Below are 12,700 nucleotides of genomic sequence, written 5' to 3' on the forward strand. Positions count from 1 at the left end.
TCTTCATGCTTCCAAGGATTCTGTTAATCCACGTTGTAACACAATTCTCAGAAAAAAGAAAACTTACCTACAGGACATAGGAAGTTATGCAGAAAATAATTACAAATGTAATCTGGATGTAGAAAGAAAAAAAAGGAAGCAGGAAGCCAAAACATAAATTCTAATCTGTAATTTAAAAAAGGAATACCCTTAATATGACAGCATAGTGAACTTAGAACTAAATAATCATGATTTTTAAAAGTCACGAGACACCAAAATTAGATTGGGGGAGGAGGAACTTACGGATTTTTTGAGGGTGGGGTGGGGAATGTTGTACCACTAAACAGCTATTTGTTTTCTGCAGTGAAAATCATGTGATGGTATATAATCTATTTTGTTTCCAAGAAAACAAGTGAATAGTTAATTACTCTAGACAGAAACATAATTGCATGCACATGCAATCACAGAAAACAGCTCATCTACTTGCCACTCCTTGGCTAATAATAATTTAGTGATGGGCATGTAAGTTATTATGGTCTTTATTTATTTATATTTTGCTAGGGCTGTGGCTCCCTTCCTGGACACTAGCCATTTTGCTCTGTCACAGTCATAAGGAAGGGGTTACATATGACATGTCCTCTGGCTAAAAGCTGTAGTGTGGGTTACTAAAGAAATATTAAGAGCTCCATGTAAAGAATAGGTTTCTTTTACCACTGCAGTTAATTGACATAAACAAATGTTTCCTTTCAACAGAACTTGTCCATTTTCAGTCCCATGTTCTATGCTCCAGTGCTTTTCCAGACTTTGAGACGGTATTGCCTCTCAAATCACAAACATGTTATAAGGCCAGGGGTCATAAAACATATATACGATGAACGGGACCACCTAGACTGTTGTTCAAGAATCCATTTGTGAATTCTTAGGGAATTACTGGGTTCTGTGGAGTGATATGAAGATATTAAACGCTCAGGATTACTAAGAGATCCTGTTACACGAAAACAGAATGATTTCATTTTTGTGGCCCACCTTACTCTGCCAGTTGCACCTATGTAGCTGCACACCTTATGTAGGCCAATGCATGAGCACAGCAGCTCAGCTTTCAGAGCAGCCCTCTCAACCTTGGCTGCACAGGAAACACCTAGGGAGCTTTTCAACAAACAAAACAAAACAAAAACCCAGCATCTAGGCTACACCTGAGACCAATTACCTTGACCCTCAACATGTGGCACCAAGGCAGCAGTACTTTCTATAGACTCCCAGGTGATCCCGGTGCACAGCCAGGGTTGAGAATCCAGCTCTAACTGCATTTGCTTCAGCAATTCGTGAGGAGGTATCAAAGAAGGTAATAAGAAAAAACAAACAAACAAACAAAAAAAACCCCTGGCCCTTGGGCTTATTAGAAAGTCATCAGGCAACTAATGCTCTGCAAAATTCTCTTCAAGCATGTCTGAAAAGAAGAATCTCTCCATAGCAGACTTGTGAATTCTGAGATGCTGGTCAAAGATCCTAACTCTACAGTAAGTAGGAGTGTATGAGTGGTAAGCACATGGGCTTTGGCAGCAGATGGCCAGAGGAAAAAATAAATCCCAACTCCATTGCTTATAGGCTTTGTGATCCTGGGCAACAAAGCTAATATTTCTAAGCTTCTGTTTCCCCACCTGTAAAATAGTACTTGACACTATTAGATTACAGGAGACAAATTCACAGAAAGCAGTTGGAAGAGTTGCTGACACAAAAGGAAGCACTCAGTATTCACTTCATTTTTATGAGCTATTATTTTTTGCAGGAAAAAATAGTCCATAAATAAAGTGTGAAATTCATGTACAATGTTATGAACTTATTTCAGTGATTTTAAAAATCTTACGTGATAAAACACCCTATGTGATAGCATTTGTATTATACTTCAGACGGAACAGTTGCTTATCTATCTTTATGCTTTAAGATTCTAAGTAAAGTTTGGTAAGCAAAGCCTTCTGCAGTTTAAGAAGGAGTTTAAAATCCTTTGGCTTAACATCATTAATTTACTCTTATTGCATAGATTTAAAACACATCATTAGAAATATTTTGGGGCAACGGAATTTTCTACATGAGGCCTCTCTGACAATGTGAATTAGATGGATGCCTGCTATAAATGCAGGTAAAGCTACATGGCCAAGTTTTTGGCTTTCATGTGGTTTATGAGGCAGTTTTGTTTGGCACTGCACTGAGGAAACTCTGCTGACAGTGATAGTGATGCTGATAAGACTAAGGCACAGATTTTAACTGAATTAAAACCACTGGGAACATGATAAGCCTTGACTAGCACAGCGCTAAACGTGGCCTTGAATGTTCAGAAACTTTACAAGGCTTTAATATTTAGGGGAAAAGTTTGATATTCAGTTCCAGTGGAAATATCCTAATTCAGCTGTCCATCACACTCTCAATGAAGATAGAAGTATAATTTATTATTGTTATTACATTAGCTGGTGACTGGAAACACATTACCAATGTACAAATTAGAGTCTCTAATCCTAAGGTAATTATCAGCCAATTTCAGAGTTGTTAACAGGATTAAAATTATGAATACATTAGCTGATTCACCCTTGCAAATCAAATTTTGATTAGATAATACTACATGCTAATATGTATAACATTCAAATGTCATAAAAGGCTTTTTAGTATAAAAACTTTGATAAAATTTTTCAATAATGTATGCAAAGCCAGGGAGAGGGAATGAATGATTGATGGTTTTTCCTTATAAGCCTTATTAAAGGTCCTGATTTGGTTGGTCTCCAACTGTTTTGGCTCAGAATTAGGAATTCTAGTTTTGATGACAGCTCGTGTGCACTGATTAGAAAAACATCTCACAGAGCTATTAATAAGGCAAGTTAATCACTAGAAGCATAACAGTGGATGGAAAATATTTCATACTGAAAGTTCTTGAAGATCCTGCTTTTCAGTTTATTACAGGATATATCTTCTTAAAGAAGCATCATTGAACAGTTAGTACCTACATAAGTACATACTAACTCATTTCACGTAGGTGCTCTGTGAATTCTACCTGTAAGCATAATCCTTCTAGCAACAGTAACAGGCAGTGTAAAATGCAGTCAGGTGGGTGAGTAGTTGGTGAGTATGTAATTGTGACATTTTTCTAATGTCTAAAGAACTTCATTTGTGGTACATCTGGACTTTAAAATACATCACTTCACCTTAAACAAAAGATCGTTGGGTCATCAGGTTTGGTCAGAACAACAGCACAGAATATATTACAGAAATGAAGTCTTACCACATCCCACAAGGAGAAGAGACGTTTGCAATTTTGTTTGTTGGGAACAACCAAGTAATTCCACAAATCATAACCCTGAAGACAGAACATCCTTATACTCCCTTCCATGTAAGCAGACACAGAAGGTGAATTTGGAATTTCAAAGGTAAATGATACATATTGAAAAAGATGATAATACATTTAATGTAGCCAAAAGTTTTAAAAATTGTGCTCAATAGATTTTTCTTTTTAGAATGAGTAAGAAATGCTTTTTTTGAGTGTTTATTCAGGTAACTGAGATAAGGTTCTAGTTTACTATATGGTCTGATTTTAAAAAGGAACAAAAAATCTATTTACTGTATCTTTCTGTAATACAACTTGTACCTGATTCCAGAGGCATCTTTGTTAAACGCAAAGGTGAGCATTTCCCCACACCCCGGCTTAAAATCTTTCCCCATTACCTAAAGAGTAAATCCAAACATCGTGTTACGGTACGCAGGGTCCTACATGAGCTGATCCCGCCAATACTTCTAGCATGCCTCTCACCTTTCCACCACCTCTACTTGCTATGCCAGTGATGTACATATCCCTTACCCATCAGGACATACTCTGCAAATGCTGCACCACGTTCCCAGAACGTGCTCCTGTTTCTTTCTACAGTGCTCCAAAAGATTTCTAAGATTATTTAATTGTGACATATCACTGCATCCCAAAAGAAAAAAATAATGAACTTTTGGCATCAATGGAAATATTCAACTATGGGGATATATGCATTTATACATAAGTTACACATATTTAAATCCTGTGTGAGCAAGCATGTGTTTTTCCAGACTTAACAAACAACAACAAAACTTATCTGTCTTGATCCTATTCATAGACCTAAGGCAAAATAGAAATTACTGTAATAACAAACTCATAGAAATACATGAGCATAATAACAGACTGCGAATAGATTTAGTATTTTTCCATGTTCAGAAAACCAAGTCAGTGTAGCTCATATCCCTACCCTTCTTGTTTTATGGTTCTTGGCAATTCTTTTGATTATTTCTGTTCTCAGGCAGGGCTGCCAAATCCTTTTCTCAGCTCCATCTACTCCACAGTTGAGGTCTCTTCGGTTCCAGCTCTTGCTCTGCTGCCAAGCTCCCCTTCACTGCCTTGGCATCAAAGACGAAATGTGGCCAAGGAAGGAAGCTCCCTAGCCATCAGCATGTGCAGGGCAAATCGGAATTTCCTTAAATCCTTCTCCTTAAAAAGATCAAAGAGAGCATAGCTTTGCATCTTATAGTCCTTTTATTGAGAGTTTGTTTCTGCTTCTATTATGTCTGCCTCCTCCCCTGGTCCTTTTTCTTTATTTCTTCAATTATGTAAGCATAAAGTTGGTTTTTAAGTATGCAAGGACATAAAATACCAAGATTTTTAGTGTCTGTGCTGGCCAGAATGAAAATTAAGAGATCTGATGAGAGCTGAAATAACTGAGTTAGTAATTCTGATAAATATCCTGAACATACACTATGGTCTACAATTGAGTATATTGATTCTTAGAACTTACATTGCTGTGCCACACAGTATCCGAGAGGTTGGTTAAATGTTAGCATGTATTTTAGGCAAAAGGTCAGCAAGTTTCTAACTTTTAAGAAGTTTCTGCAAAATTATATCAGCCTCCCCAAAGGCCACCCCCACTTTTTTTTTTTAAATGATGTAATCAGAACTACTTTTCATTCTCTCAGGGATCCATCTATCTTCTGATAAACTTCCTATCTACTTTTCCAAATCAATGTGACCAGTGTATACTTTGATTAGAATTTCCTGTTTTAGAATCCATTACTTTAAAAACAATTTATAAAGGCAAAAGATTGTGGGATTTGTTCTCCTCAAAGGTATAAAGCACAAAGTGAGGCATTATTAATACTTCTGAACACACGTAACAAAAGAAATCATTCAGCACCATTTCAGCATATTCCCCACTCAGGAGATTCATGCATATTTAAATGAATTAATTTATTTTCTGCAATTTGCTCTTTAAGTGCTTAAGTGCTCATTTGCTGTTGCTTATTTCAAGATTCTGTGCCCTTGTTTTCTGAGTCACCAACTTATAGCTTGAGTGCTCCAGGTGTATTTATGCTCCCAAAGTATTTTAAATTACCCATTAGGAAATCCAATTTCCTATTTATAAGACTCAGAAGTGATTTTCCACTGTTACCTTTTTCTTAATTAAGAATATAGGCCTAAATTCACAGCTAAGTTTTTGGTACAATATTTATTTATTGGCTCTATGACAGTCAATATTATAGAATGTCACCAATATTAGACTCTCAGTCACTTAAGATGGGCTACTCTTGGATTCTATTGGGATTGACATTTTGGGTATCCATAAAAATCATCACCGTAACAACATCCACTACTTACACTGTGTGCCAAGCACTGGACATGCTCTATCTCATTTAGTCCTTTCAACATTCCTATGAAGAGTTATTATTTTCTCTATCATTATTTGTTTTACAGATGAGAAAATATAACTTAGAGAGGTGAAACACAAGGTCACATACCTAGCAAGTAGCAGAACCAATATTTAAAGCCCGCTCCGTCGTCCTTCCAAACTTTATAACGATCCATTTGTGTCTAAGGCATGTGATTGTGTTTTGGCAGGTATAGAAATGACTGACTGAGACCCAACTTCTGCTTTTAAAGACACTCAATAATCTCATTCAATAATTTCAGACAGTGATGATTGCAATAAAGAAAACAAAACAGGGTGATGTGCTGGAGAAGCTTTGTTGGTGGGTTGGTCATGCTAATGCAGATCTGGTTATTAGAAACAACCTCCTTAAAGAAGTAACATCTAAGCTAAGACTCAAAAAATACAATGTGGGACATCCACTGAAAGACAGGAAAAATGGTATTCCAGGCAGAAGGAAAAGCAGGTACAAAGGCCTAAGGCAGAAACTGAAAGGTCACTGAGACTAGAGTTAAGTGAGTGAAGGGAAACTGGCACCTAGGCTGGGGAAGAGAGAACAAACCAGGTCATGAGATGCAGGCAAGAGTGTGGCTTTTATGCTAAATGTGAAGGAAAGCCATTAGAGGGTGCCAAACTGGGGAGTGACGTAAGTAAGTTTTATTTTGGCTTCAAAAAGATTGCTCTGGTTGTTTTGCAAAGAATGATTAGACAAAGTGATCAGTAAGGAAGGAGACCACTGCAGGATTCCATGGTAGAGATCACCTAGACTAGGATGGGACTAGGAGATGGAGAAAAGGGAAGAATGAGTTTAAGGATTTGGGTTTGAGCTGTTGGGTAGATGGTGGTTTACTGACATGGGGAAAACCGAACAGGTGAGGCAAAAATCAGGTTGTCGTTTATGGTCACCGGGTTAGACAAGGTTTTTAGGCATTCATTCAACAAAGATTTACTGAACAACTCAGTGCTCTTGAGGGCACTAGAGATAAGTTGTTAACAAAGCAGATGAAGTTTCTATGCTCTAGTTAGCTTACATCCCAGGAATCTTGGTACAAATGGAATAATCAGAGAGGGCAGGAAGGGAACTATGTATTTGAGAAACAATGGCATTTAGATGTATTTAAAGCCATGGGTCATGGTAAGATCATTTAGGGAGAATTTACAGATAAAAAGAAGAAAAGGACCCAGGACCAGACCAAGCAAAGGGACATTTTTTATTGAGAAATGGCGTACGCAAAACATATTTGATGACTTCTAGTTTAAAAACTTGTCTTTTTTTTGAAAATACTGACTGACATGGCAAAGTGACCTCCCCTCTATCCCCTATTGTATTTTTAGATTGCTTAGATACAAGTACAAGAAATTTGTTGATGCGCTACTCTCATTTTCTTCTTCCATTCAATACCCTTTTGCTTTTTTTTTTTTTTAATTTTCTTTTTCTATTTTTTTTTTCGAGACAGAGTCTCACTCTGTCGCCCAGGCTGGAGTGCAGTGGCTCGATCTAGGCTCACTGCAAGCTCCGTCTCCCAGATTCACACCATTCTCCTGCCTCAGCCTCCCGAGTAGCTGGGACTACAGGGGCCTGCCACCATGCCTGGCTAATTTTTGGTATTTTTAGTAGAGACGGGGTTTCACCGTGTTAGCCAGGATGGTCTCGATCTCCCGACCTCATGATCCACCTGCCTCGGCCTCCGAAAGTGCTGGGATTACAGGTGTGAACCACCACGCCCGGCCAATACGTTCTTGTTTTCTTTTTAAAGAGATAGAGTCTCACTCTGTCGTCCAGGCTGGTGTGCAGGGGCACGATCATGGCTCACTGCAGCCTCGAACTCCTGGACTCAGGCAACCCTCCCACTTCAGCCTCCCGAGTAGCTGGAACTACAGGTGCACACCACCATGCCTAATTTTTTGTATTTTTGCCCAATACCTTCTTTATTAAAAATTCATTCTTTTGGCCAGGGCACTGACTCATGCCTGTAATCCCAATACTTTGGGAGACCAAGGCAGGTGGATTGTTTGAAGCTAGGACTTTGAGACCAGCTTGGGCCACATAGCAAGATCACATATCTACAAAAAATTATCTGGGCATAGTGGCACATGCCTCTAGTTCCAGTTACTTGGGGAGCTGAGGTGGGAGGATTGCTTGAGCCTAGGAGGCAGATGTTGCAGTGAGCCATAATCGTGCTACCACACTCCAGCCTGGGTGAGAGAGCGAGACCTTGTCTCAGAGAAAAAAATTAATTCATCAGAAAAATTACACAGAAAACCCAACTAACTATAAAACTTGAACCATGAAGCTCTAAATAATTTGTGACTGCCATAACAATTAATGGTAAATCTGTAACAGCAGCTGAATCCATGAGTCACCTTCAGATGAGGGGGAAAGCACATACAATTTCCATAACGCTGATTCTAACTCCACAGGTTTCTTTTCAGTTCAAGGAAGTACACTAAATTGACAGTGAGAGGCATGATTTTTAGGAGTAAATTTTAATCTGCTTTAATGAGTTTTTAAAAACTCAGTCAAAATCATGAGTACTTACACTTAGTTACAGAGTACTTGGGGCCTAATTGACAAGTGATTGAGACATATTGTGGCACTTGAGAACCGCTGCCCAAGGGCAGGCTTGCCCACAGTCAGGGCCTCCAGTCCACTCTGCCCACTATTTCCTACTACAATTCTGCTAGAGGGAAATTCAGAACTGAAAAATACTTTATGTTCAACATAGTTTAGTCCATGTTGTGGTTCAAAATGTAACCCACTCTCCTTGATAAGTATTTTAAACTTTCTAAATCCTACCCTTAACCCAGTGCCTTATCCCCGATGCTGTGGTCTCTGTCTTGGTAAAGACTCTTGCCACCTATCAGTTCTGTCATCTCTGAGTGTCTTCACCTTCATACCTAACTCATCATCTCTCATTTCGTTGTCTCTACTTTCAAAGGTGGAGCTAAACACACTTTTCTCGAAGGGCTCCCATCCCCAGTCTGAATTCCATCTTCCATCTTGAGGAATACCACTTCCACACTTCACCCATCCTTTCCCCGTTTCTTCCATCTCTCCCTGGATCTCTGGAGTTTCCTGGTCCTTTTGATCTTTCAACATAAGTAGACTCCTTTCATCTTGGACATAAAGGCCTTCTTGATAATGAAGCCTTCACATGTATATATCTTCTCATATCACTGATAAACTTCTTTTTAAAAGTTTAATTTCCTGCCATTGTGCTTTCAGTATGTTTTTAATACCTCCTTAATGAATAGAAATCTGGCTTCTGTTCCTACTATGCTATTACTCCTCTGCATTTTTAAGAGTGACCAATGCATTTCTTTAGTAAAAATCCAACAATTTTAATCTCTTTTACATAAGATCCAACTTATTAATCCCTCTTTCAATGATAGCTTAATTCTTGGCTAACTTCTTCCTGGCCTGCTCACCGTTCACTCTTTGCCTTTTGTTTTTTATATAGGATCTGCTATTTTTTTTTTTTTTTTTTTACTAATCTGTAAATATGACAGTTTCCCAGGGCTAAGTAACCCCTTTAGTTACTTCTTCTAGTTAACAATGACAGAGAAATGTGTAAGATCTGAATATTTAAAAGCAGCAACCCTGATAAGAAATCCTATTATTAATCAATGCCAATTAAGCATCTAATATTAAGGATTTACTAACTACGATGAGCAAAACATGAAGGGCCTATAAACTAAAAGAGTATACAACCTAGTTATGTAGATAAAACATACAAAATAACTGGAACAAACATAAACCCACCTTTTACATATGTGTAACACCATTACGAATGCCTGTTGGAAACAGTAGAGTAAGGTGAACTAAGATTTTTCTGTTTTCTTTCTTTTTGCAAAGCAAATATTACAAGTTTCATGAATGAGGACACAATAATGCAAGAACCAATTTCATTTGCCTTTGTTTTTACAATGATGTCTGCTCTCAAATAAGAGTTCTGTACAATTTTCAGCATCTAAAAGGAGAATGAATCTAAATGAAATGCTTTAGACCTTGACTCACGCTCAGAGCAGTAAAGAAATGAGTCAGAAAAAAACATCCTAGGGAGCAGAGGATGCATTTAAAACTCCAAATCCCCCGAAAGGCAATAATTTCCAAAAATTCCTCCACTGCCACTCCCTAGGTAAGCCCCTGTCTGGACACACACAGAGACACACACACATACACTCACTCAGACTCAAAAACCCTCTTTTGTAATAGGCACATTTTTGGATCGTATTACTTTAAACCATATCAACTTCTGGCAGGGTTTGCAAGTATTTTTACCCTTAAAATGGAACTTATCCTTCATTCTTCTAATTGCTTTAAAAGTTATAATAAAGAACTCTTGCTTGAACATTTTTTACCATAGCACAATTAGTTCCGTGTCCCATTACAGAACTCGTGTGGGTAAAATGCACTTGCTGATTTTAAAAAGGTGGTTAATTACATAAAATATGCAAAGGTACTATTCTGGATGACTAGGAGGGGACACAGAAGACAAGCACCAAATTCTTGAGGCAAATCCATTCTAGTCAAGGGAATAAGAAATATACACAAATAATGATGCTATTTATATGGAAGAGTTACATGGTATACTTTAGGAATTCAAAGGAAAGAGAAATTGCATTTAGTTATAAAAGCTTCATGAAGGATGTGATCTGAAATGGCCCTTGTAGATGAGTAACATTTGTGCAGGGGGAGACGTTAAAGGGAGAACACATTCTGAGAATACCAGGGGGTGAGGTCATGTATTATGGGGAAAATGGAATATGTGTTGGACCTCAAATGCTTTTAATAGGCTCTCAGGAGGAGAGGATAAAATAGTACAATTCTATTACTGAGAATAAAGAAGAAAGACTAATGCTAGAGATGAAAAAGATTTTGAGATAGTTTAGTTCAAAGTTACTCATTTTAAAGAAAGAGAGCTACATAGTAAGGATAGGGGAGAACAGAGCGCATATTTATATCACCATTGCAGCAGCAGGGGATGAGGAGGAGAAGGCTGCCAGAGCTAGCTCTGTCCTCATTCACTTTGTCCTACAAGCACAAGCCAGACTTCTCCTCCCTTTGGTACTGCACCCACCTATAGGGAATGAGCCTCATTTATTAAATTTATATGGTAGTTGGCATGTACCATGGCAGCAGGAAATGGCATCTCTTCACTGTTATCTCTAGAAAATCAGCATTTGGTGGGATACAAGTTAGTGAAAACACCACAAGTTTCAATTTACATTTTTCTTAATTGTATGTCAGATTTCAATTGTCCACAATTTGTTTCTCTCTCCTGGCAGACTTTCCACTTGTACACTGCACATAACTAATTTCTTAAAGGTTAAGATAAAAATTAGTTATCATCTGTAGTTGTTTAAGAAAAGAGAGTCTGAAAGCATTCTTTTTTCCTAAGCACATGAAGACACACACACACACACTTTTTTCCTAAACACGTTTTTCCCTTTTTCCTAAGCACATTAAGACACACACACACACACACACACACACACGAAAAACCGGATTTAGAGATAGATAGTTGCGAGGGAAAACTTGTTAATTTGAAATTAAATGTGTCCAGAAAATAGGTGAGTGGCAAAGGCTGCTGTGCTTCTCCAGAAGTGAAACCTTGCAATTAAGATGAGAAGACAGCCCAAGTGTGACGCTGGCGCTGGAGCGGCCGGGGGATCTCAACACGGCTAATGAATCATCATCAAAGTGATTTATTGACTGCGGCCAGAGCTTCAACTCTGTCTCAGTGTAAATGAGGAATAATAATAATTTCCCAGTACTCGCTTGGCTGTGAACTTCTAAAGAGTGAGAACCTTCAGCAGGAGATGATAAACTGTAGTGATGCCATAGGACGTCTTCTTCCACAATGTTCAAAGCCACTGTCATACAGTGAACTACATCTCATAAAACCGACAAGAGACGGGTATGCACAACGCGATGTCATCCCAACACAGCTTCCAAGCAAAAGTCCCCTGAGTCTCATCCTATTACAGCTTCTCATGGGGACCGTTCATTGCTGCCACACAGGAATGTAAGGAGGAGAGGGATGCCTCCTTAGAATATCAAGCTCCTGACATTTAGGATCTGGACTCACGCGCTTCTCTGTGGCTTCAGCGACCATGGTTTTCAAACCAAAAGAAACCTTGGATACCATCTATCATCATATATACAATCAGTCCTCTTTGTATATATGAAGAATCCATGTTACTTGTAGTACCATTTAATTCATTAGTTACAGAGTCAGACTTTGAACCCTATTGTCATCTTCCCTCCTCATTATGAATTGAAGTAAACAGATACATACTTTGTTTCTGCTACATTTTAAGGAACAGTCAAGGTATAAATTACATACAGAGAAGGTAAGTTATATATTATGCAATAATCTCCAGAGATTTTTTTTTGTCAAGATGTTTAAAGCACTGATTTGAGTGGGAGCTAACACTGAGTACACACGGACACAAAGAAGGGAACCAGAGACATCGGGCCTACTTGAGGGCAGAGGGTGGGAGGCGGGTGGGAGGCGGGTGGGAGGAGGGTGAGGATTGAAAAACTGCCTATCGGGTACCATACTTACTACCTGGATGACAAAATAATATGTATAGCAAACCCCCCAACATGTAATTTATCTAGAGAGCAAACCTGCCATGAACCCTAAAGCTAGAAGTCAAAAAACAAAAAAAATTAAAAAGGCATGGATTTGTTCTTGTTTTTGGCTCTTATAATATTCTCAAAGCCAGAGGATCTTTACCCTCTCTTGCTAGTTCAATCCTACTCTTTTCTCTGGAATGGAAAGAAAATACTGTATAATTCCCTGACGCACCCCTTTAGCTTGGGAATTTACCTGCTCTCCATGTAACCTATGCCTTGATTTTCCTTGAAGTATAGCTATATATGCATATAGCTATGCAAATACTTCACTACTATTTGGGATACATGGGTATATGTAAAAGGTCTCTGATGCAGATACTTCTATTTTGGTCTCCATAATGGGCATTTCTCCAGTTTGATCTCCCCTCCTTTT

General features: G+C 38.4%; 1 protein-coding gene across 42 annotated transcripts in view; it reads right to left on the minus strand.

The window, feature by feature from the left end:
• TPK1 (thiamin pyrophosphokinase 1) overlaps positions 1-12,700 on the minus strand; it is a 384,497-nt gene that overhangs the window by 63,824 nt on the left and 307,973 nt on the right. For 2 of the 42 annotated variants that reach the window (XM_017011972.2, XM_017011969.2), the window contains one exon: positions 3,493-4,471. The exons of the other annotated variants lie outside the window; for them this stretch is intronic. In XM_017011972.2, coding sequence (XP_016867461.1) covers positions 4,422-4,471 — 50 coding nt within the window. In that variant the 3' untranslated portion in view covers positions 3,493-4,421. Of the gene's footprint in view, positions 1-3,492; positions 4,472-12,700 lie in introns of those variants that run through there. 42 annotated transcript variants of the gene reach the window in all.

The sequence above is a fragment of the Homo sapiens genome, chromosome 7 (assembly GCF_000001405.40).
Source record: "Homo sapiens chromosome 7, GRCh38.p14 Primary Assembly".
NCBI lineage: Eukaryota > Metazoa > Chordata > Mammalia > Primates > Hominidae > Homo > Homo sapiens.